Genomic DNA, 24,820 nt, shown 5'->3' on the forward strand with positions numbered 1-24,820 from the left:
TTCTGGGTATTTGTAGGGAAATTGGAAGGGAACCGAGAGCACCTAGCCAATCGCATAGCAATGGGAGATTTCAGGCTGTGGGGAATGTCTTTGCTGGTGAAAAGAACATCCTGACCTTAGAAATCTTTCACCGAGGGGGATCTGCGTTCCAGAACTTCTGGAGCTGGTATAGGTAAGGCTTTGAGCTTTCCTACTGAGCCAGCCTGTTGCTAGGTTACCAAAGGGGACCTCGAGGGCCATCTGGCCAACAAGCAGACTTGTCTCTCCTTACACCCCCAGACGTATCACTGCAAAACTACAGAAAACCAAAGACAGAGAAAATCTTAAAAGCAGCCAGATTTAAAAAATGGCATATTAGTTTCAAAGCAGCAGCCATGAAATTGACAGCTGATGTCTCAACAGCAAGAATGAAAAGTGGAAGACAGGCCAGGTGTGGTGGCTCAGGCCTGTAATCCCAGCACTTTGGGAGGCCGAGGCGGGTGGATCACGAGGTCAGGAGACCAAGACCATCCTGGCTAACATGGTGAAACCCCGTCTCTACTAAAAATACAAAAAAATTAGTCGGGCATGGTGGTGGGTGCCTGTAGTCCCAGCTACTCGGGAGGCTGAGGCAGGAGAATGGCGTGAACCCGGGAGGCGGAGCTTGCAGTGAGCCGAGATTGTGCCACTGCACTCCAGCCTGGGTGACAGAGCAAGACTCTGTCTCAAAAAAAAAAAAAAAAAAAAAAAAAAAAGGGTGACGAAGCTTCAATCTCCTGAAAGGAAGCAACTGCCGCCTTTGATTCGATACCCACCAAAATCCGTGAAGAAGGAAGGCAAAATAAAAACACTTCCTGATTGAACTGGAAAGATTTCCGCAATAGAAGACCCACTGTCCAAGGAATTCTAAAGGATGCTTTCCAGGCAGAAGAAAATGACCCCAGAGGAAGATCAGAGATTCAGGAAAGAAATGGAGAGTGATAAAAATGGAAAATTCGGGGGCCAATTTAAACAAAAGCTGACTGCTCTACAACTGTTGTGTCTCTATCTTTTGTAACATATATGTGTGTGTAGCTTTTTTTTTTTTTTTTGTCAAGATGGATTCTCACTCTGTCGCCCAGGCTACAGTGAAATGGCACGGTCTCGGCTCACTGCAACCTCTGCCCCTTGGGCTCAAATGATTCTCTTGCCTCAGCCTCCTGAGTAGCTGAGATTACAGGTGCCTGGCACAATGCCTGGCTAATTTTTGTATTTTTACTAGAGATGGGATTTCTCCATGTTGGCCAGGCTGGTCTTGAACACCTGACCTCAGGTGATCCACCTGCCTGGGCCTCCCAAAGTGCTAGGATTACAGGCGCGAGCCACTGCATCTGGCCTATGTGTGTGTTTATATGGAATTAAAACACATGGCAATAATACCCTCCAAATTGGGAGAAACCAAAAATAGCATTTAAATGTTGTAAGCTCCCTGCATAATCAAGAAGAGAATAGATTTACGTTAGATTTTGATACCTGGAGGATGAATGTTGTAATTTCTAGGGTGACCATGAAAAGAGGAGACAACGGTGTATGTTTTTTTTTTTTTGAGATGGAGTCTCACTTTGTCACCCAGGCTGGAGTGTTGTGGTGTGATCTTGGCTCACTGCAACCTCCTCCTCTTGGGTTCAGGCCATCCTCCCACCTAGGCCTCCAGAGTAGGTGGGATCACAGGCACCTGCCACCACACCTGGCTAATTTTTTTTTTTTTTTAAATATTTAGTAGAGATGGGGTTTCACCATGTTGGCCAGGCTGGTCTTGAACTCCTGACCTCAGGCGATCTGCCTACCTCTGCCTCTCAAAGTGCTGGGATTACAGGTGTGAGCCATCGCGCCCGGCCAACAGTGATCACTTTCAAACTAACAGAGGTTCAAAAATAAAATCAGACTTAACCAAAAACCAGGTAACAGAGCTGGTAGGATATACAGAAAGACTGACCTCACGTATATCAACGATTACAGTTAATATTAATGAAGGAAATGCTCTAGTTTAAAAACGAGGGTTGTCAAAGACCCCACATAAGAAGCTCCTTACCAGCGGTGCACCTAGAACCTAAGGAAACAGGACAGATGAAGGAGGACGCGCCCCCGCCGCTGTCCTGCGCCTCAGCCATCCTATGAGACGGGAAAGGTTTCTGTCTGCAGCTGGGCCCGTGCTCTTTACCAGCTCCTGGCTTTCTTCTCTGGAAGGTTCCTGCCTGTTTTGCCCTCACACCTGCTCCTCTCTCAGCCCTCTCAGGGGTGGGGCTGGAGGCCACCAAAGAGCCTCCTCTGCTCTCCAGTTGCTCGACTGCTCCTCATTTCCCCCTGGGGTCTGCGTCAGGGTTTCCTTCTTTTCCAGCCCCACCCCGCGTGCATCCCACCTGGTCTCGGGTCGGGGCTGCTCCCGCTTACTGCCCCCTGCCCAGGCTGGTGTGCACCCCCTCTGGCTGCTTTCAAGGCCTCTTCTCTCTTCTCGGCAGGACAGGCACAGGCAGGTGGCCAGGTGTCATGCTTAGCTCCCCGCCCAGTGAGATTCTTTCATTTAACAATCTTCCCCTGAATAGTTCATGTTCATTGCTGAAAATTTGAAAAATATGGAAAAGCACAAAGATTAAGATATAAACCGCCCTCAATTCCCCTGCCCAGAGAGAGTCACTGCTATGACTTGGTGACTAGGAACCTTATTTCTCTCTCGCTCTTTTTTTTTTTTTTGAGACAGAGTCTTGCTCTGTCACCCAGGCTGGAGTGCAGTGGCTCGATCTCAGCTCACTGCAACCTCCGCCTCCTGGGTTCAAGCGATTCTCCTGCCTCAGCCTCTTGAGTAGCTGGGATTACAGGCACCTGCCACCATGCCCGGCTAATTTTTGTATTTTTAGTTGAGAGAGGGTTTCATCTTGTTGGTCAGGCGGACTTGAACTCCTGACCTCAGGTGATCAGCCCACCTCGGCCTCCCAAAGTGCTGGGATTACAGGTGTGAGCCACTGCGCCTTCATCTCTCTTCTGTGTATGTGTACGCTGTTTTTTCTTTAGAATGGGGGACGTTATCAGGCTCTACATGGTGTGTAGTCGGCTAGCATGTTGTAAGCCTTTCCCTGTGTCACAAGTGCTCATCTGGAACAGGATTCTAATGACTGCCTGTGGCTATGTTGGGATTCCTTTAACTCAGCTCCTTCTGCCCAGCATCTATCTTTTTTCCATCTTTTGTCCTAAGTGTTGCTATAATAAATCATTGATCACACATGCCTGACTGTTTGCATAGGATAAATTACGGGAAATGTTTTTGCTGTTCAGGGACTGTGCCCATTTTTAGGCCTCAGAGACACCATGCCAGACTGCCCAGTATTGATCTTTACTCTTTTTAGATGATGCCAAACTTTTCTGTGAACTTTAAAAACCTGTGTCTTGACAGTCCATTTCTGTAAGTCTTTCACATTAGATTTCCTGTCAGGATGATAGTCAATTCTAGGCAGATGATGTTTTCTCAGCCATGGCTGAAGCAGTTGTGATTTGTTGTGGCCATGTAAAGTCCCGATGATCCATTGCCTCCCTGGATGGGTTGGAATAATTTGGTTTGGGAGCATATAACAGAATGACCTGGAGTCACAGCAGCTCAGACGGAAGTGTATTTCTCCCTTACAGATGAAAGAATTCCAGGCCAGGCTGGAATGACAACTGCACACAGTCATCTGGGCCCCCTCCTTCCAGCTCCCATCACCCCAGGATGTGGCTTTTATGCAGATGATCCAAAATGGCTGCTCAAGTCCCAGCCAACACATCCCATTCCAGGGAGCAGGAAAAAGGTGTGTCTTTCCCTTCATTTTATGTGATTCCTTTCTAGAAGTACTACTCATTACTTCTGCTTGCATCTCCCTGGCTAGCACTTACTTAGTTATATGGCCATAGCTAGCTGAAGGAAGGACAGGGACTGTCATACACTAGCTAAGAGGCAAACTGCTTAGATAAAAAGGTCTCTAAAGAAGGTCAGAGCGGCTGCTAGGGTGCAACTCTATTACTTATTGTTATGGGACGAACTGTGTCCCTCATTCAGGTTGATGTCCTAAGCCCCAGAACCTCAGAATGGGATTGTATTTGGAGACAGGTTCTTTAAGGAGGTAAGGAGGCTAAAATGAGATCATTAGGGTGGGCCATAATCCGACTGATGTCTTACAAGAAGAGATTAGGACACGGACATGCTCAGAGGGACGGCCACGTGAGGACACCAAGAAAGGCAGCTGTCTGCAAGTCAAGGACAGGGCTCAGGGGAAACCAACCTTGCCAACACCTTCATCTCGGACTTCTAGCCTCTAGGACCATGAGAAGATACATTTCTGTTGTTTAAGCTGCCCGGTCTGTGGTACTTTGTTATGGCAGCCCAAGTAAACAAATACAGTCATCTGCTGCTGGAACAAATCACCCCAGCACTGTGGCTTGGCAGCACACATGTCTAGTCATAGAGTTATATGTAGTTACGTGTAGAGCCATATGTATCGTCACACGTTCTGTGGGTCAGGAATTTGGACCCAGCTTAACCAGCTCCACTTCTCGCCAGGGTTCAGTCAAATACCAGCTGCCTCCCACCTGAGAGCTCAGCCGGGGAAGGGTCCCTTTCCAATCTCACGTGGTGTTGGCAGGATCCAGTTCCTCATGGCCTGCTGGACTGAGAACCTCAGTTCTCACTGCCTGTTGGCCAGAGGCCGCCTTTATGTCCTCGCCATGTGGGCCTCTCCAACATGGCAGCTGACTTCATCAGAGCATCCATGCCAAGAAGGCAACAGAGAGGGCCAGGGAGACTGAAGTCATACCCTTTTGCGACCTAGTCATGGGGTGACATTCCATCACCTTTGCCCATTGGTTAGAAGCAGGCCACCAGGTACAGCCCAAGCTCACGGGGAGGGGTCATACAAGGGTGTCAATACCAGGAGGTGAGGGGTGCTGGGGCCATCTTATGAGTCTGCCCACTGAGGTAACTAACAACCTTGAGGCCTGACACAGTGGACAAAGGCCCTTATTAACAGCAGAGAACTGGGAACTTTATTTATTTATTTATTTTTGAGACAGAGTCTCACTCTTGTCACCCAGGCTGGAGTGCAATGGCATGATCTTGGCTCACTGCAACCTCCACCTCCCAGGTTCAAGCAATTCTGCCTCAGCCTCCGGAATAGCTGGGACTACAGGCATGCACCACTACACCCGGCTAATTTTTGTATTTTTAGTAGAGACAGGGTTTCGCCATGTTGGCCAGGCTGGTCTCGAACTCCTGACCTCTGGTGATCTGCCTGCCTTGGCCTCCCAAAGTGCTGGGATTACAGGCGTGAGCCACCGCACCTCGCTGGAACTTAATTTTTTTAGAGACAGTGTCGCTCTATCACCCAAGCTGGAGTGCAGTGGTGCAATCCTAGCTCACTTGCAGCCTCAAATTCCTGGGTTCAGGTGATCCTCCCACATCAGCCTCCCAAGAACTGGGAACTAACAGCTGTTTCTCTGCTGTCCTTCTCAAGAAAAGGGAGGCTACTGCTACCCCACTGGGGACAATGCTGGGTTTCCCTTTAGGACAGGCTCTGAGACAAGGCGGAGGTGCTGTTTGTGGCCACAGAGCAGGGGACTCTGGGTTGCAGGTGTGGCCTGGCTAAAGTAGGCTTTACTGGGCTCCTCTCTGCCTGCATCACCCCCCGGCTGGGCGGTTGTCTCTGAGGCCAACCTTACTCCCTGCTGGGCAGGCTGGACAGCTGCCCTCTCCGTTTGCCCCTCTACCACCCAAAAGGCAGGAGGCTCTGGAGACCAGGACCCTGCCCGCCACGGCCTGTGTCCCAGGCGTGAGGGGGTGCCCCACAGACCTCTGCTGAGCTGCTGCTGAATGACGCCCCTTGGGGGTCCTGCCGGAAGGTCAGAGCAGGGGTGCACTCCCATAAAGAAACGCCCCCAGGTCGGGACTCATTCCTGTGGGCGGCATCTTGTGGCCATAGCTGCTTCTCGCTGCACTAATCACAGTGCCTCTGTGGGCAGCAGGCGCTGACCACCCAGGCCTGCCCCAGACCCTCTCCTCCCTTCCGGGGCGCTGCGCTGGGACCGATGGGGGGCGCCAGGCCTGTGGACACCGCCCTGCAGGGGCCTCTCCAGCTCACTGGGGGTGGGGTGGGGGTCACACTTGGGGTCCTCAGGTCGTGCCGACCACGCGCATTCTCTGCGCTCTGCGCAGGAGCTCGCCCACCCTCTCCCCGTGCAGAGAGCCCCGCAGCTGGCTCCCCGCAGGGCTGTCCGGGTGAGTATGGCTCTGGCCACGGGCCAGTGTGGCGGGAGGGCAAACCCCAAGGCCACCTCGGCTCAGAGTCCACGGCCGGCTGTCGCCCCGCTCCAGGCGTCGGCGGGGGATCCTTTCCGCATGGGCCTGCGCCCGCGCTCGGCGCCCCCTCCACGGCCCCGCCCCGTCCATGGCCCCGTCCTTCATGGGCGAGCCCCTCCATGGCCCTGCCCCTCCGCGCCCCACCCCTCCCTCGCCCCACCTCTCACCTTCCTGCCCCGCCCCCAGCCTCCCCACCCCTCACCGGCCAGTCCCCTCCCCTATCCCGCTCCGCCCCTCAGCCGCCCCGCCCCTCAGCCGGCCTGCCTAATGTCCCCGTCCCCAGCATCGCCCCGCCCCGCCCCCGTCTCGCCCCGCCCCTCAGGCGGCCTCCCTGCTGTGCCCCGCCCCGGCCTCGCCACGCCCCTACCTCACCACGCCCCCCGCATCGCCACGCCCCCCGCATCGCCACGCCTCCCTTACCATGCAGTCCCGCCCCGTCCCTTCCTCGTCCCGCCTCGCCGCGACACTTCACACACAGCTTCGCCTCACCCCATTACAGTCTCACCACGCCCCGTCCCCTCTCCGTTGAGCCCCGCGCCTTCGCCCGGGTGGGGCGCTGCGCTGTCAGCGGCCTTGCTGTGTGAGGCAGAACCTGCGGGGGCAGGGGCGGGCTGGTTCCCTGGCCAGCCATTGGCAGAGTCCGCAGGCTAGGGCTGTCAATCATGCTGGCCGGCGTGGCCCCGCCTCCGCCGGCGCGGCCCCGCCTCCGCCGGCGCAGCGTCTGGGACGCAAGGCGCCGTGGGGGCTGCCGGGACGGGTCCAAGATGGACGGCCGCTCAGGTTCTGCTTTTACCTGCGGCCCAGAGCCCCATTCATTGCCCCGGTGCTGAGCGGCGCCGCGAGTCGGCCCGAGGCCTCCGGGGACTGCCGTGCCGGGCGGGAGACCGCCATGGCGACCCTGGAAAAGCTGATGAAGGCCTTCGAGTCCCTCAAGTCCTTCCAGCAGCAGCAGCAGCAGCAGCAGCAGCAGCAGCAGCAGCAGCAGCAGCAGCAGCAGCAACAGCCGCCACCGCCGCCGCCGCCGCCGCCGCCTCCTCAGCTTCCTCAGCCGCCGCCGCAGGCACAGCCGCTGCTGCCTCAGCCGCAGCCGCCCCCGCCGCCGCCCCCGCCGCCACCCGGCCCGGCTGTGGCTGAGGAGCCGCTGCACCGACCGTGAGTTTGGGCCCGCTGCAGCTCCCTGTCCCGGCGGGTCCCAGGCTACGGCGGGGATGGCGGTAACCCTGCAGCCTGCGGGCCGGCGACACGAACCCCCGGCCCCGCAGAGACAGAGTGACCCAGCAACCCAGAGCCCATGAGGGACACCCGCCCCCTCCTGGGGCGAGGCCTTCCCCCACTTCAGCCCCGCTCCCTCACTTGGGTCTTCCCTTGTCCTCTCGCGAGGGGAGGCAGAGCCTTGTTGGGGCCTGTCCTGAATTCACCGAGGGGAGTCACGGCCTCAGCCCTCTCGCCCTTCGCAGGATGCGAAGAGTTGGGGCGAGAACTTGTTTCTTTTTATTTGCGAGAAACCAGGGCGGGGGTTCTTTTAACTGCGTTGTGAAGAGAACTTGGAGGAGCCGAGATTTGCTCAGTGCCACTTCCCTCTTCTAGTCTGAGAGGGAAGAGGGCTGGGGGCGCGGGACACTTCGAGAGGAGGCGGGGTTTGGAGCTGGAGAGATGTGGGGGCAGTGGATGACATAATGCTTTTAGGACGCCTCGGCGGGAGTGGCGGGGCAGGGGGGGGGCGGGGAGTGAGGGCGCGTCCAATGGGAGATTTCTTTTCCTAGTGGCACTTAAAACAGCCTGAGATTTGAGGCTCTTCCTACATTGTCAGGACATTTCATTTAGTTCATGATCACGGTGGTAGTAACACGATTTTAAGCACCACCTAAGAGATCTGCTCATCTAAGCCTAAGTTGGTCTGCAGGCGTTTGAATGAGTTGTGGTTGCCAAGTAAAGTGGTGAACTTACGTGGTGATTAATGAAATTATCTTAAATATTAGGAAGAGTTGATTGAAGTTTTTTGCCTATGTGTGTTGGGAATAAAACCAACACGTTGCTGATGGGGAGGTTAATTGCCGAGGGATGAATGAGGTGTACATTTTACCAGTATTCCAGTCAGGCTTGCCAGAATACGGGGGGTCCGCAGACTCCGTGGGCATCTCAGATGTGCCAGTGAAAGGGTTTCTGTTTGCTTCATTGCTGACAGCTTGTTACTTTTTGGAAGCTAGGGGTTTCTGTTGCTTGTTCTTGGGGAGAATTTTTGAAACAGGAAAAGAGAGACCATTAAAACATCTAGCGGAACCCCAGGACTTTCCCTGGAAGTCTGTGTGTCGAGTGTACAGTAGGAGTTAGGAAGTACTCTGGTGCAGTTCAGGCCTTTCTCTTACCTCTCAGTATTCTATTTCCGATCTGGATGTGTCCCAGATGGCATTTGGTAAGAATATCTCTGTTAAGACTGATTAATTTTTAGTAATATTTCTTGTTCTTTGTTTCTGTTATGATCCTTGTCTCGTCTTCAAAGTTTAATTAGAAAATGATTCGGAGAGCAGTGTTAGCTTATTTGTTGGAATAAAATTTAGGAATAAATTATTCTAAAGGATGGAAAAACTTTTTGGATATTTGGAGAAATTTTAAAACAATTTGGCTTATCTCTTCAGTAAGTAATTTCTCATCCAGAAATTTACTGTAGTGCTTTTCTAGGAGGTAGGTGTCATAAAAGTTCACACATTGCATGTATCTTGTGTAAACACTAAACAGGGCTCCTGATGGGAAGGAAGACCTTTCTGCTGGGCTGCTTCAGACACTTGATCATTCTAAAAATATGCCTTCTCTTTCTTATGCTGATTTGACAGAACCTGCATTTGCTTATCTTCAAAATATGGGTATCAAGAAATTTCCTTTGCTGCCTTGACAAAGGAGATAGATTTTGTTTCATTACTTTAAGGTAATATATGATTACCTTATTTAAAAAATTTAATCAGGACTGGCAAGGTGGCTTACACCTTTAATCCGAGCACTTTGGGAGGCCTAGGTGGACGAATCACCTGAGGTCAGGAGTTTGAGACCAGCCTGGCTAACATGGTGAAACCCTGTCTCTACTAAAAATACAAAAATTAGCTGGTCATGGTGGCACGTGCCTGTAATCCAAGCTACCTGGGAGGCTGAGGCAGGAAAATCGCTTGAACCCGGGAGGCAGAGTCTGCAGTGAGTTGAGATCACGCCACTGCACTCCAGCCTGGGTGACAGAGCGAGACTCTATCTCAAAAAAAATTTTTTTTAATGTATTATTTTTGCATAAGTAATACATTGACATGATACAAATTCTGTAATTACAAAAGGGCAATAATTAAAATATCTTCCTTCCACCCCTTTCCTCTGAGTACCTAACTTTGTCCCCAAGAACAAGCACTATTTCAGTTCCTCATGTATCCTGCCAGATATAACCTGTTCATATTGTAAGATAGATTTAAAATGCTCTAAAAACAAAAGTAGTTTAGAATAATATATATCTATATATTTTTTGAGATGTAGTCTCACATTGTCACCCAGGCTGGAGTGCAGTGATACAATCTCGGCTCACTGCAGTCTCTGCCTCCCAGGTTCAAATGCTTCTCCTGCCTCAGCCTTCTGAGTAGCTGGGATTACAGGCGCCCACCACCATGTCCAGCTAATTTTTGTATTTTTAGTAGAGATGGGGTTTCACCATGTTGGCCAGGCTGGTCTTGAACTCCTGACCTTGTGATCTGTCCACCTCGGCCTCCCAAAGTGCTGGGATTACAGGTGTGAGCCACCATGCCTGGCTAGAATAATAACTTTTAAAGGTTCTTAGCATGCTCTGAAATCAACTGCATTAGGTTTATTTATAGTTTTATAGTTATTTTAAATAAAATGCATATTTGTCATATTTCTCTGTATTTTGCTGTTGAGAAAGGAGGTATTCACTAATTTTGAGTAACAAACACTGCTCACAAAGTTTGGATTTTGGCAGTTCTGTTCACGTGCTTCAGCCAAAAAATCCTCTTCTCAAAGTAAGATTGATGAAAGCAATTTAGAAAGTATCTGTTCTGTTTTTATGGCTCTTGCTCTTTGGTGTGGAACTGTGGTGTCACGCCATGCATGGGCCTCAGTTTATGAGTGTTTGTGCTCTGCTCAGCATACAGGATGCAGGAGTTCCTTATGGGGCTGGCTGCAGGCTCAGCAAATCTAGCATGCTTGGGAGGGTCCTCACAGTAATTAGGAGGCAATTAATACTTGCTTCTGGCAGTTTCTTATTCTCCTTCAGATTCCTATCTGGTGTTTCCCTGACTTTATTCATTCATCAGTAAATATTTACTAAACATGTACTATGTGCCTGGCACTGTTATAGGTGCAGGGCTCAGCAGTGAGCAGACAAAGCTCTGCCCTCGTGAAGCTTTCATTCTAATGAAGGACATAGACAGTAAGCAAGATAGATAAGTAAAATATACAGTACGTTAATACGTGGAGGAACTTCAAAGCAGGGAAGGGGATAGGGAAATGTCAGGGTTAATCGAGTGTTAACTTATTTTTATTTTTAAAAAAATTGTTAAGGGCTTTCCAGCAAAACCCAGAAAGCCTGCTAGACAAATTCCAAAAGAGCTGTAGCACTAAGTGTTGACATTTTTATTTTATTTTGTTTTGTTTTGTTTTTTTTGAGACAGTTCTTGCTCTATCAGCCAGGCTGGAGTGCACTAGTGTGATCTTGGCTCACTGCAACCTCTGCCTCTTGGGTTCAAGTGATTCTCATGCCTCAGCCTCCTGTTTAGCTGGGATTATAGACATGCACTGCCATGCCTGGGTAATTTTTTTTTTTTCCCCCGAGACGGAGTCTTGCTCTGTCGCCCAGGCTGGAGTGCAGTGGCGCGATCTCAGCTCACTGCAAGCTCCGCTTCCCGAGTTCACGCCATTCTCCTGCCTCAGTCTCCCAAGTAGCTGGGACTACAGGCGCCTGCCACCACGTCCAGCTAATTTTTTTGTATTTTTAATAGAGACGGGGTTTCACCGTGTTAGCCAGGATGATCTTGATCTCCTGACCTCGTCATCCGCCGACCTTGTGATCCGCCCACCTCGGCCTCCCAAAGTGCTGGGATTACAGGCATGAGCCACTGTGCCCGGCCACGCCTGGGTAATTTTTGTATTTTTAGTAGAGATGGGGTTTTGCCATGATGAGCAGGCTGGTCTCGAACTCCCGGCCTCATGTGATCTGCCTGCCTTGGCCTCCCAAAGTGCTAGGATTACAGGCATGAGCCACCATACCTGGCCAGTGTTGATATTTTAAATACGGTGTTCAGGGAAGGTCCACTGAGAAGACAGCTTTTTTTTTTTTTTTTTTTGGGGTTGGGGGGCAAGGTCTTGCTCTTTAACCCAGGCTGGAATGCAGTATCACTATCGTAGCTCACTTCAGCCTTGAACTCCTGGGCTCAAGTGATCCTCCCACCTCAACCTCACAATGTGTTGGGACTATAGGTGTGAGCCATCACACCTGGCCAGATGATGGCTTTTGAGTAAAGACCTCAAGCGAGTTAAGAGTCTAGTGTAAGGGTGTATGAAGTAGTGGTATTCCAGATGGGGGGAACAGGTCCAAAATCTTCCTGTTTCAGGAATAGCAAGGATGTCATTTTAGTTGGGTGAATTGAGTGAGGGGGACATTTGTAGTAAGAAGTAAGGTCCAAGAGGTCAAGGGAGTGCCATATCAGACCAATACTACTTGCCTTGTAGATGGAATAAAGATATTGGCATTTATGTGAGTGAGATGGGATGTCACTGGAGGATTAGAGCAGAGGAGTAGCATGATCTGAATTTCAATCTTAAGTGAACTCTGGCTGACAACAGAGTGAAGGGGAACACCGGCAAAAGCAGAAACCAGTTAGGAAGCCACTGCAGTGCTCAGATAAGCATGGTGGGTTCTGTCAGGGTACCGGCTGTCGGCTGTGGGCAGTGTGAGGAATGACTGACTGGATTTTGAATGCGGAACCAACTGCACTTGTTGAACTCTGCTAAGTATAACAATTTAGCAGTAGCTTGCGTTATCAGGTTTGTATTCAGCTGCAAGTAACAGAAAATCCTGCTGCAATAGCTTAAACTGGTAACAAGCAAGAGCTTATCAGAAGACAAAAATAAGTCTGGGGAAATTCAACAATAAGTTAAGGAACCCAGGCTCTTTCTTTTTTTTTTTTTTGAAACGGAGTTTCGCTCTTGTCACCCGGGCTGGAGTGCAATGATGTGATCTCAGCTCACTAAAACCTCTACCTCCTGGGTTCAAGTGATTCTTCTGCCTCAGCCTCCCAAGTAACTGGGATTACAGGCGTATACCACCATGCCCAGCTAATTTTTGTGTTTTTAGTAGAGATGGGGTTTCACCATGTTGGCCAGGCTGGTCTCGAACTTCTGACCTCAGGTGATCCACTCGCCTCAGCCTGCCAAAGTGCTGGGATTACAGGTTTGGGCCACTGCACCCGGTCAGAACCCAGGCTCTTTCTTATACTTACCTTGCAAACCCTTGTTCTCATTTTTTCCCTTTGTATTTTTATTGTTGAATTGTAATAGTTCTTTATATATTCTGGATACTGGATTCTTATCAGATAGATGATTTGTAAAAACTCTCCCTTCCTTTGGATTGTCTTTTTACTTTCTTGATAGTGTCTTTTGAAGTGTAAAAGTTTTTAATTTTGATGAAGTCGAGTTTATCTATTTTGTCTTTGGTTGCTGTGCTTCAAGTGTCATATCTAAGAAATCATTGTCTAATCCAAAGTCAAAAAGGTTTACTCCTATGTTTTCTTCTAAGAATTTTAGAGTTTTACATTTAAGTCTGATCCATTTTGAGTTAATTTTTATATATGGTTCAGGTAGAAGTCCAACTTTATTCTTTTCCATGTGGTTATTCAGTTGTCCCAGCACTGTTTGTTGAAGAGACTATTCTTTCCCCATGGAATTATCTTAGTACCCTTGTTGAAAATTAATCGTCCTTAATTGTATAAATTTATTTCTAGACTGTCAGTTCTACCTGTTGGTCTTTATGTCGATCCTGTGCCAGTACCATACAGTCTTGATTACTGAAGTTTGTGTCACAGTTTAAATTCATGAAATGTGAGTTCTCCAACTTTGTTCCTTTTCAAGATTGATTTGGCCATGCTGGGTCCCTTGCATTTCCGTACGAATTGTAGGATCAGCTTGTCAGTTTCAACAAAGAAGCCAAGTAGGATTCTGAGAGGGATTGTGTTGAATCTGTAGATCAACTTGGGGAGTATTCGCATCTTAACAATATTGTCTTCCACCTATGAACATGGGCAAACTTTGTGTAAATGGTCAGATTGTAAGTATTTCGGGCTGTGTGGGCACAGTGTCTCTGTCACAGCTACGCGGCTCTGCCATTGTAGCATGAAAGTAGCCATAAGCAATATGTATGAGTGTCTGTGTTCCAATAGAATTTTATTAATGACAAGGAAGTTTGAATTTCATATAATTTTCACCTGTCATGAGATAGTATTTGATTATTTTGGTCAACCATTTAAAAATGTAAAAACATTTCTTAGCTTGTGAACTAGCCAAAAATATGCAGGTTATAGTTTTCCCACTCCTAGGTTAAAATATGATAGGACCACATTTGGAAAGCATTTCTTTTTTTTTTTTTTTTTTTTTTTTTGAGACGGAGTTTCACTCTTGTTGCCCAGGCTGGAGTGCAGTGGCGCGATCTCGGCTCACTGCAACCTCTGCCTCCCAGGTTCAAGACATTCTCCTGCACGGCCTCCCTAGTAGCTGGGATTACAGGCATGCGCCACCACACCCAGCTAATTTTGTATTTTTAGTAGAGACGGGGTTTCTCCATGTTGGTCAGGCTGGTCTTGAACTCCTGACCTCAGGTGATCCACCCGCCTCAGCCTCCCAAAGTGCTGGGATTACAGGGTGTGAGCCACCACACCCTGCTGGAAAGCATTTCTTTTTTGGCTGTTTTTGTTTTTTTTTTAAACTAGTTTTGAAAATTATAAAAGTTACACATATACATTATAAAAATATCTTCAAGCAGCACAGATGAAAAACAAAGCCCTTCTTGCAAGTCTGTCATCTTTGTCTAACTTCCTAAGAACAAAAGTGTTTCTTGTGTCTTCTTCCCAGATTTTAATATGCATATACAAGCATTTAAATGTGTCATTTTTTGTTTGCTTGACTGAGATCACATTACATATGTATTTTTTTACTTAACAATGTGTCATAGATATTGTTCCATAGCAGTACCTGTAATTCTTATTAATTGCTATGTAATATTTTAGAATTTCTTTTTAAAAGAGGACTTTTGGAGATGTAAAGGCAAAGGTCTCACATTTTTGTGGCTGTAGAATGTGCTGGTGACATATTCTCTCTACCTTGAGAAGTCCCCATCCCCATCACCTCCATTTCCTGTAAATAAGTCAACCACTTGATAAACTACCTTTGAATGGATCCACACTCAAAACATTTAGTCTTATTCAGACAACAAGGAGGAAAAATAAAATACCTTATAAAGCACTGTTTAATATTGTATTAAATTGGATCAATTTGGGGGCTAGAATGTATGTTAGAGACATGATATGTCCATAGGTCCTTGCTATCACAGTGAGGTCTCAGGGACAGTCGTTTGGTATCATTTGGGATCTCATAAGCAGACTCTCTCTGCTTGACCTGACAAATCAGAGTCTGTGTTTTAACAGGTTCAGTGAGTGACTTACATGCACATTGGAGTTTGGGAAGCTCCACTGTAGGTGCTTAGACCTTACCTTTGTTGTTGCTAATAACAATGCAAGCATTTGGGAGGAAGACCTGTGTTGCTCATATGTGTCCAGGTGTAGCTGAGGTGGCCTTGCTTATCTGCTGTAGGGCCGTTGAGCATTTCTGTAGCTGTGATGAGTGAGCTGAGGTGAGCCTGCGGAGAGCTCCCAGCCATTGGTAGTGGGACTCGCTTAGATGAACTGGAAGGACCCTTTCATCTGAGCAGCCACTATGGAGAAAAACAACCGAATGAGGGGAGAGACAATGTGCAATTTTATTTAGGGCACAAAGGAGAGCTGTGGTTAGAAGGTGACATTTGAGTGGAAAGGGGGCAAGCCATGTGTATAGCGGGAGAAGAGAGGTCCAGGCAGAGTTAACAGAAGGCAGAAATGCTTTCCATGTTTGAGAACCAGTAAGGAGGCCAGTGGCTGAAGTAAGGTGAAGGGCAGAAATAAGGATGAGGCTGCGAGAGATGAGAGGTTAGAGACGAGCGTCTTGTGCACCAAGATAAGCTTGTGTGGTCAAAACAAGTAGTTTAATTTATGTTTTTAAAAGATCATTTTGGCTGGGCACAATGGTTCATGCCTGTAATACCAGTAGTTTGAGACGGTGTGGTGGGAGGATTGCCTGAGGCCAGACGACCAGCATAGCCAACATAGCAGCACCTATAAGGTCTCTACAAAAAACTTTAAAAAATTAGCTGGGCATAGTGGTGTGTGCCTGTAGTCCCAGCTACTCAGGAGGCTGAGGAGGCTGGAGGATTGCTTGAGTCCAGGAGTTTGAGGCTGCAGTGAGCTATGATTATGCCACTACACTACAACCTGGGCAAGAGAGTGAGACCCTGTCTCTAAATATACACACACACACACACACACACACACACACACACACACACACACACACACACACACATATATATGTATATATATGCATTTAGATGAAAAGATCACTTTGACAATACCACATGCTGGTGAGGATTTAGAAAAACTAGGTCACTTATTGCTGGTGGGAATATAATATAGTACGGCCACTCTGGAAAACAGTTTGGCAGTTTGTCATAAAACTGAACATACCGTTAGTATACAGCCCAGCAGCAACTACAATCCTGGGCATTAATCCTAGAGAAATGAAACCTTAATGTTCACATAAAAACCTATACTCAAGTATGCATAGCAGCTTTACCCATAATATCTAAGAACTGGAATCAGCTCAGATGTCCTTCAACAGGTGAATGGTTAAACTACTCAGTAATAAAAAGGAATGAGCTACTGATAGCATGCAACAGTTTAGGTGAAGTTATGCTAATGAAAAAAGCCAATCCCAAAAGGTTATACATACTGTATGATTCTATGTTTTTTTGCAATGGCACAGTTTTAGGGATGGAGAATAGATTAGTGGTTGCCTGGGGTTAGAGATGGGGTAGTAGAGTAGGTTAGTGGTGGCAGAGGAGAGAAAAGAGAGGGAGGTGAATGTGGTTATAAAAGGACAACACAGGGGAATACTTGTAATGGAAATGCTTTGTCTTTTTTTTTTTTTTTTTTTTTTTGGCGACAGAGTCTTGCTCTGTTGCCCAGGCTGGAGTGCAGTGGCATGATCTTTTCTCACTGCAACCTCTGCCTCCTGGGTTCAAGTGATACTTGTGTCTCAGTCTCCCATGTTCAGAGTGAAACAAACCAGAGGTAATGTTCATCCAAATAATCCAACACACATGACATTAAAACATCAAGATCAGGTCGGACGTGGTGGCTCATGCCTGTAATCCCAGCACTTTTGGGAGGCCAAGGTGGGCAGATCACTTGAGGTCAGGAGTTCGAGACCAGCCGGGCCAACATGATGAAACCCCATCTTGACTAAAAATACAAAAATTAGCCGGGCATGGTGGTGTGCACCTGTAGTCCCAGCTACTTGGGAGGCTGAGGCAAGAGAACTGCTTGAACCCGAGGGGCAGAGGTTGCAGTGAGCTGAGAGTGCGCCATTGCACTTCAGCCTGTGTGACAGAGTAAGACTCCATCTCCAAAAAAAAAAAACCAAGATCAATTAAAATACAGCATTACTGGGCCGGGTGTGGTGGCTCACACCTGTAATCCCAGCACTTTGGGAGGCCGAGATGGGCAGATCACGAGGTCAGGAGATCCAGACCATCCCGGCTAACACGGTGAAACCCCGTCTCTACTAAAAAATACAAAAAATTAGCCGGGTATAGTGGTGGGTGCCTGTAGTCCCAGCTACTTGGGAGGCTGAAGCAGGAGAATGGTGTGAACCCGGGAGGCAGAGCTGGCAGTGAGCTGAGATCGCGCCACTGCACTCCAGCCTGGGCGACAGAGCAAGACTCCGTCTCGGGGGAAAAAAAAAAATAAATAAATAGAATGCTGTAGTGTCCTTGAGTTTACATGCCCCTCCTTACGCTTGTGTGCCCGTGCAGATTGCTTGATTACACAATTAGAGGAGGCTGGCGGAGGATTGTTTTAATTTTTTTTTTTTTGAGACAGTCTGGCTCTGTTCCCCAGGCTAGAGTGCAATGGCGCAATCTTGGTGCACTGCAACCTCTGCCTCCTGGGTTCAAGCAGTTCTTCTGCCGCAGCCTCCCGAGTAGCTGGGATTATAGGCGCCCGCCACCACGCCCAACTATTTTTTGTATTTTTAGTAGAGCAGCGTTTCACCATGCTGGCCAGGCTGGTCTCGAACTCCTGACCTCAGATGATCTGCTGCCCCAGCCTCCCAAAGTGCTGGGATTACAGGCGTGAGCCACACCTGGCCGTTTGTTTTAATTTTGAAGGTGAAGTGAAAGTGACTACATTTACCAAAAGTGATTGAAAAGCCAGGACTGTTCTTACCCTGTTTTTCCAGTTCTTGCTCAGAGCAAGGTGGTTTCTTTTTCACTTAATCACCATACTTACTTTTCATGTAGAACAAGTCAGTTTGAGTTATCAGTTCATCATCTTAACTAAATTCCATGGGGGAAGGAATTAGTTTTAGTTTCTTAAACTTCCAGGTTTGCTTATTGGACAAAATGAGATAGCAAGGCAGTGTTTTTAAGTTAGATTTTTTATTTCTTTGGTAATACAATTTTCTCAGAAACTTAGTAGTCTTTTAGTTTAGTTGTTTTTAGTTGGTCCTATGTTTTGGATCACCCCTCTCTACTTTATTTTGATAGTGCCAACTGTGAAGACATCTGAAGCCATAGGTTTGGATGGGAAGGAGGCATCTTTAGCCTGATCATCTTCGCCAGGCTGTTTATCTCCTTTTGCTTGGCTGAGAAGTCTTAATAGGAGGCTTATTCCCAGCTATTTGGGGACATAGAAGCAGTTAGCCATTGCTTATATTTTACTGAGGTCTGTGTGGTATGTTGATTGTAGTCAGTTAACGATTTTGAGAACTGAAGGCAGCCTGGTATATATAGAGTAGGTATTAGACTGTGTTTCTTCTAATTGAATTTCCCATCTCTTGTAATCTATGCCATCATCTTCTGTACTGCTGAGAAAGAAAGAAAGTTTCTAATCAAACTATACCACTGGTTGTAAGATGCAGTTTGGCTTTAGTGATGTTAACACATGATTCAAACGTGAAATTGATTGAGTATTGGTGAAATACAGAGGAGATTTAAAGCCAGAAGACCTGGGTTTAAATGCTGGCTGTATGACTTCATATCTGTGTGATCTTGGGCATGTCATGGTTGGCACTTCAATTTCTTCTCTCTATAATGGGGGAAGTGAGGCCAGTCATGGTGGCTCATACCTATAATCCCAGTGCTTTGGGAGGCCAAGATGGGAAGATCGCTTGAGGCCAGGAGTTTGAGCAATTGGGCAACATCGTGAGGCCCCGTCTCTACAAAATATTTTGAAAAAATTAGCCAGGCCCAGTGGTGCGTGCCTGTGGTCCGCGCCACTCAGGAGGCTGAGACGGGAGGATCCTTTCAGCCTAGGAGTTTAAGGCTAAAGTGAGCCATGATTGTGCTATCGTACTCCAGCCTGGGCAGCAGAGCAAGATCCTGACTCTAAAAAAAAGTAAAATAAAGTAAAATGGGGGAAATGAACTGCTTTAGTAACATCATCTGTTTTTTCTGTGAGCAGCGTAGCTTGACAGCCATTGGTGAACTCGTGCCCTGTGCTTCCCTGTCCAGATCCCCATTCTGCCCGCAACATGGAGTATAACGGTTTATTCATAGTAGTCGAGAAACACTCACTGAATGAATGAATGAGGTGTAGAACTAAGTGGAGTGGGTAATTCAACACATATTAATTTCCTTCTTTTTTTTATTTTTAGAAAGAAAGAACTTTCAGCTACCAAGAAAGACCGTGTGAATCATTGTCTGACAATATGTGAAAACATAGTGGCACAGTCTGTCAGGTAATTGCACTTTGAACTGTCTAGAGAAAATAAGAACTTTGTATATTTTCAGTCTTAATGGGCTAGAATATTCTTTGTGTCCCAGCTATTTTAAATGGATTCAGAAATCCATTTAAGATGAAGAAGGACCCTTTTCCCATATTTCTGGCTATATACAAGGATATCCAGACACTGAAATGAATAATGTTCCCTTTTTGTAATCTTTTATGCAAAAATTAAAACCATTATGGTAATTGAACAACATGTTTATGTTTAGTTAACACCCTTAGCAACTATAGTTATTTTAAAACCATCTATGGTTTGATATTTTTGCATTTGTTGCAATAGTAGGAACAGCACAAGACAGTTCAGTTTGTCTCTCTTATTTGCTTTTTCTTGGCAGTTTGCTGTCCTATTGTACCTCTGCTCCTAGCAGTGGCTGGAGCCCACTCCTCTGTGCTTCGGGATTAGTGGGGATCGTGGGGCATTGACTGTAGGTCAGCTTTCCTTGCTTGATCTTTCTCACTGGGATGAACTAGCAGCACCTTCTTTTGTAGCTGCTTTGCTTTTGACTATCTTTCTGACCGTTGTTCCTAGTAGCTGTAGATGGTAAATATATTTAGGCCTGTTTCCAATGGCTCAGTAGGAGACATATTCACCTATGATATCTGAATTCTGTTACCCACATGGGCATGCGTGAAATAGTTGCCTTGCCTTACTTTCCCTTGGAATAAATAATTCATGTTATTCTCCTGGTAGAAGCTAGAAAAAGCCTTTATAGTCAGTCAGAAAAAAATTTTTAGACAAATAATCTTGATTTTAGTACTGACAAAAACGTGTGGTGATTCTTTTTTTAATTTTTTTTTGAGACGGAGTTTCACTCTTGTTGCCCAGGCTGGAGTGCAATGGCGTGATCTCGGCTCACTGCAACCTCTGCCTCCTGGGTTCAAGTGATTCTCCTGCCTCAGCCTCCCAAGTAGCTGGAGTTACAGGCATGTGCTACTGTGCCCAGCTAATTTTGTATTTTTAGTAGAGATGTTGGTCAGGCTGATCTCGAACTCCCAACCTTAGGTGATCTGCCCGCCTCAGCCTCCCAAAGTGCTGGGATTACAGGCGTGAGCCAGGGCGCCCGGTGATTCATTTGTTTTTTCAAAAAATTTCCTCTTGGCCATTGCTTTTCACTTTTGTTTTTTTTTTTTTTTTGAGACGGAGTCACGATCTGTCACCCAGGCTGGAGTGCAGTGGCATGATCTTGGCTTACTGCAAGCTCTGCCTCCCAGGTTCACGCCATTCTCCTGCTTCAGCCTGGCGAGTAGCTGGGACTACAGGTGCTCGCCACCACACCCGGCTAATTTTTTGTATTTTTAGTAGAGATGGGGTTTCACCGTGGTCTTGATCTCCTGACCTCATGACCCGCTCAACTCAGCCTCCCAAAGTGCTGGGATTACAGGCGTGAGCCACCGCGCCCGGCCCTCTCTTGTCTTTTTATTGTGGTAAAATGCACATAAAATTGACTGTCTTAACCATTTTTAGGGGTACAGTTCAGTATATATATTCGTAATGTTGTACAGCCATCACTGCCATCTACTTCATAAGTTTTTCTTCTGTCAAAACTGAACATCTGTCTTCATTAAACTCCCTATCATCCATTCTTTCCTGTAGTCCCTTTCTACTTTCTGTCTGTATGAGTGTAACTGCTCTGGAGACCTCATGTAAGTGGATTCCTACAGGATTTGTGTTTTTTTTTTGGTGATCTGCTTATTTTTAATGCCTCTGTGCATTTGTATTATATACTTTCAAAGTGATTTCACAAAACCGTTTCATTTTAGGTTAACTCATTTCTGTTGTTTGTGAAATACTGTGTATGATTCTGTTCTGTTTCTGTCTAATTTGTGGAAATGTTGTGGGAAGAAAATGAAATAACAAATGAGCATATGTCCTGAAAATAAAAATATAAAAATTCTAAGTTAGCATGCTATTGTAGAATACAACGCTATGATAAAAGTAGGAAAAAAAAAGGTTTGAATTCTATCTCTGCTACCTGTGTAAGCTGGGTGACTTTAGATAAGCTGTAACGTGTTTGAGCCTTACTGGCTCATTTTTGAAATGTAATCCCTAGTTACACAGTTCTTGTGGGATCAGATGGTACATGTGAAACACTGTGAAAAAGCAACTGCATAGATATGTTCATTAGCCACCTGAGCGGGAAGCGTATCCCATTGCGATGCCCATCATCCAAAGCTATATGTTATCTTTACTTTTTTTTTTTTGAGACAGAGTCTTGCTCTGTTGCCCAGGCTAGAGTGCAGTGGTGCAATCTCAGCTCACTGCAAGCTCCACCTCCCGGGTTCACGCTATTCTCCTGCCCCAGCCTCCCAAGTAGCTGGGACTACAGGCACCCGCCACCATGCCTGGCTAAATTTTTGTATTTTTAGTAGAGATGGGGTTTCACCGTGTTAGCCAGGATGGTCTTGATCTCCTGACCTCGTGATCCGCCCGCCTCGGCCTCCCAAAGTGCTGGGATTACAGGCGTGAGCCACTGCCCCTGGCCATCTTTACTTTTTTTGTGAAATGACTTTAAATACTTGGCAAACATTTGGTCATTGTTCATCTGATCTCCACCATCCAGGTCTCAGAGAACATAATTTCTCTCTGAAAGCTTATTGACCCAGGAAATAAGATCTCTTTCAATCTGAGTGCGTCAGGCTTTATTCTTGTCATTTTGTCTTTTGATAATTTTCAAATGGAATTCATGGAATGTTGGCTTATATTCATATATTAGTAAAGTATGTTGAGACATCTTAAGATTGATTTGTGGTTCTATATGCCATATTAAATCAAAATAATAGCTGTTAATGGTTTTCACATTAGTCTGTCTCTTGTTTTTATGGAGTAATGCTGAGAGTTCATTATGCTTGTTCTACAGAAGAGCATGTTAAAAGGAGTTTTTGGAGTCAGAGAGGTTATTCTTGGTTTCATAGGATACACTCTATACTTTTTAGGGATTTCAGAGTATATAGCTGAAGGTGATATTTTATGTAAATATGTTTTATGGAAACTTATTGCTCATCGCTGTTTCCTGTTAACTCTCCTAAAATATAATTAAACTTTTGGAACTTTTTTATAGCTTTTGTGCTAGACTAATTTTTGTCTCTAATGAGGTTATATAAATGGCAGCTTCTGACGTTTTCAATGTAGGAAGTCATTTAAAACTTCATGTATATTGTGAAAATGTAGTCTGCTTTAAGCTCTCTAAAGTGGTCTAAGTTACTGGTTCCTAAGTATGGATGAGCATCAAAATCATCTGGAAAATTTGTTAAAAATACAGTAATGAAGGCACCTCACTGTCCTTTTTCCCAAACATACTTCTGCATTCTGTTTGAGTAGGTAGGGACTACACATTTTTCACAAGTATCCTCTTGGGAATACCCAGGAATGCTTACTTGAGCAACCTCTTACTAATATGTACCTTGATAAGGTGGCTAGGTAAACATAAATATACAAAAATCCATAGATCTCCCATATATTAGCATAAATCAGCTAGAAAATATAACGTTTAAAGATCTAGTTCACAGTAGCACCAATATATCGAACTCTAAGGAATCGATAAATATGCAAAAACTTTATAAAAACTTCTGTTAATGTTTCTGAAAGATATAGGTGACCACTTTCTAGATAGGAAGATTTTATATTACTAAGTTGAATTTTCTCTAAATTAACACAGAAATTTAAAATAATCTTGATCAAAATTCTAGTAGAGGTATTTTTGAACTTGTTCACTGCAAGAATAAATACATAATTGCAAAGAATATCTCAAAATCATCACCAGGCCTGGTGTGGTGGCCCATGCCTGTAATCCCAGCACTTTGGGAGGCTGAGGCAGGCAGATCACCTGAGGTCAAGAGTTTGAGACCAGCTGGACCAGTGCGGTGAAACACTGCCTCTACTAAAAATACAAAAATTAGCTGGGTGTGGTGGTGCATGCCTGTAGTCCCAGCTACTTGGGAGGCTGAGGCAGGAGAATTGCTTGAACCCAGGAGGTACAGGTTGCGGTGAGCCTAGATCGCACCACTGCATTCCAGCCTGGGCGACAAGAGCAAAATTCTGTCTCAAGAAAAAAGAGAAAAAAGAAAAAGAAATCAACACTAATATGGTGAGACTTAATGTATGTGACATTAAAATAGTGATTGGATGTTAAAACAGGTATAGAACAGAAAGAAGAGTGTATGTGTGTATCTGTATGAATTTATGATGGGTGTAACATATATGTATTAGGGAAATGAGGGAAATGATACATTTCTCTGACTTTGGGAGAACATTATATCTCTACCTCATATTGCAAACAAACATAAAGTTCAGATTAATTACCTAAATGTGAAAAAATGAAATAATTTCTTTAAAAAATGTAATCTTAGTTTGAGGAAGGTTAACATTATAAAGGAAAAAACTGTTTTGAGTGGAATATAGTTCAATATGTCAAAATCCACCTTCAACAAAATTGAAAGTAAATTGAACTTGGGGAAAGTATTGACAGCATATAGATCAAAGGTTACTAGCCTGTGTAAAGAGCAGTTATAAATATCGTTAAGAAAAACACTGTCGACCTGTCGGCACCTTGTTCTCCGACTCCCAGCCTCCAGAACTGTGACGAGTAAGTGCTTATTGTTTAAACCACCCAGTCTGTATGTGGTATTTTGTTATAGAAACTCAAGCTGATTAGGACACTAGTAATCAGTAGACTGAAACTGAAACAAAAATAAGAACCTTTTTTACCTGTCAAATTGGCAAACATTAAGAATATTCAGATTTTTGTCAGAGGTGATACAACCTTCTAAGAAGGCAATTTGGGAAAATATAAAGCTTTAGATTATTATATGTCTGACCTAGCAGTTTTACCTCTAGGGTGCTTACCCCTAGGAAAGTGTGTAATGATATTGGTGCAGTGCCCTTCATCCCATTAGAAAATTAAAAATAACCTTAATGGCCTACCACTAAAAGGGGATTGAAAATTTAAGATATATTTATTTATGTGTTTATTGAGATGGAGTCTTGCACTGTCCGCCTGGGCCAGAGTGCAATGGTGCGATCTCGGCTCACTGCAACCTCTGCTTCCCGGGTTCATGTGATTCTCCTGCCTCAGCCTCCTGAGTAGCTGGGATTACAGGCTCACACCACCGCACCCGGCTAATTTTTTGTATTTTTAGTAGAGATGGGGTTTCACTGTGTTGGCCAGACTGGTCTCGAACTCCTGACCTCATGATCCGCGCCCCTCGGCCTCCCAGTGTTGGGATTACAGGTGTGAGCCACTGCGCCTGGCCAGATACATTTATACAAGAGAATGTTAGTTAACATTCATAGATATTTATATTTTGTTTACTTTTTATTAAAAAAATTTTTTTTAGAGACAGGATCTTACTC

General features: G+C 45.9%; 1 protein-coding gene, 1 non-coding gene and 1 pseudogene across 6 annotated transcripts in view, besides 9 other annotated features; 1 reads left to right on the forward strand and 2 right to left on the reverse strand.

The window, feature by feature from the left end:
* Positions 1 to 7,025, reverse strand: part of HTT-AS (HTT antisense RNA) — a 28,486-nt gene extending 21,461 nt beyond the window's left edge. The window contains exons 1-2 of one of the 4 annotated variants that reach the window (NR_045414.2): positions 6,827 to 7,025; positions 2,379 to 2,574 (exon numbers count right to left, since the gene is read on the reverse strand). This is a non-coding gene — a non-coding RNA (HTT antisense RNA). Of the gene's footprint in view, positions 1 to 2,378; positions 2,575 to 6,757 lie in introns of all 4 variants that reach the window. The other 3 variants (NR_185915.1, NR_185916.1, NR_185914.2) reach the window with 3 other exon arrangements.
* Positions 6,138 to 6,757: a silencer, noted in NCBI's record as "silent region_15198". NCBI's record gives its function as "represses an Ori minimal core promoter by ATAC-STARR-seq in GM12878 lymphoblastoid cells {active_cell/tissue: GM12878}" and the evidence as "EXISTENCE:reporter gene assay evidence [ECO:0000049][PMID:35858748]".
* Positions 6,908 to 7,347: a silencer, noted in NCBI's record as "silent region_15199". NCBI's record gives its function as "represses an Ori minimal core promoter by ATAC-STARR-seq in GM12878 lymphoblastoid cells {active_cell/tissue: GM12878}" and the evidence as "EXISTENCE:reporter gene assay evidence [ECO:0000049][PMID:35858748]".
* The window catches only part of HTT (huntingtin), a 169,280-nt gene continuing 151,541 nt past the window's right edge, over positions 7,082 to 24,820 (forward strand). For both annotated transcript variants that reach the window (NM_002111.8, NM_001388492.1), the window contains 2 exon segments: positions 7,082 to 7,489; positions 19,340 to 19,423. In NM_002111.8, coding sequence (NP_002102.4) covers positions 7,227 to 7,489; positions 19,340 to 19,423 — 347 coding nt within the window. In that variant the 5' untranslated portion in view covers positions 7,082 to 7,226.
* Positions 7,278 to 7,340: a repeat instability region, noted in NCBI's record as "repeat instability region; expansion of the (CAG)n trinucleotide repeat is associated with Huntington disease". NCBI's record gives the evidence for it as "EXISTENCE:nucleotide sequencing assay evidence [ECO:0000219][PMID:8458085]" and "EXISTENCE:polymerase chain reaction evidence [ECO:0000082][PMID:8133509, PMID:8458085]".
* Positions 7,278 to 7,341: a tandem repeat, named in NCBI's record as "huntingtin repeat instability region".
* Positions 7,458 to 7,527: a silencer, noted in NCBI's record as "silent region_15200". NCBI's record gives its function as "represses an Ori minimal core promoter by ATAC-STARR-seq in GM12878 lymphoblastoid cells {active_cell/tissue: GM12878}" and the evidence as "EXISTENCE:reporter gene assay evidence [ECO:0000049][PMID:35858748]".
* Positions 7,688 to 7,917: an enhancer, noted in NCBI's record as "active region_21215". NCBI's record gives its function as "activates an Ori minimal core promoter by ATAC-STARR-seq in GM12878 lymphoblastoid cells {active_cell/tissue: GM12878}" and the evidence as "EXISTENCE:reporter gene assay evidence [ECO:0000049][PMID:35858748]".
* Positions 7,928 to 7,977: an enhancer, noted in NCBI's record as "active region_21216". NCBI's record gives its function as "activates an Ori minimal core promoter by ATAC-STARR-seq in GM12878 lymphoblastoid cells {active_cell/tissue: GM12878}" and the evidence as "EXISTENCE:reporter gene assay evidence [ECO:0000049][PMID:35858748]".
* Positions 10,258 to 10,397: an enhancer, noted in NCBI's record as "active region_21217". NCBI's record gives its function as "activates an Ori minimal core promoter by ATAC-STARR-seq in GM12878 lymphoblastoid cells {active_cell/tissue: GM12878}" and the evidence as "EXISTENCE:reporter gene assay evidence [ECO:0000049][PMID:35858748]".
* On the reverse strand, positions 10,885 to 10,943 carry RNU7-33P (RNA, U7 small nuclear 33 pseudogene; annotated as a pseudogene).
* Positions 12,075 to 12,214: an enhancer, noted in NCBI's record as "active region_21218". NCBI's record gives its function as "activates an Ori minimal core promoter by ATAC-STARR-seq in GM12878 lymphoblastoid cells {active_cell/tissue: GM12878}" and the evidence as "EXISTENCE:reporter gene assay evidence [ECO:0000049][PMID:35858748]".

This window comes from Homo sapiens, chromosome 4 (genome assembly GCF_000001405.40).
Source record: "Homo sapiens chromosome 4, GRCh38.p14 Primary Assembly".
NCBI lineage: Eukaryota > Metazoa > Chordata > Mammalia > Primates > Hominidae > Homo > Homo sapiens.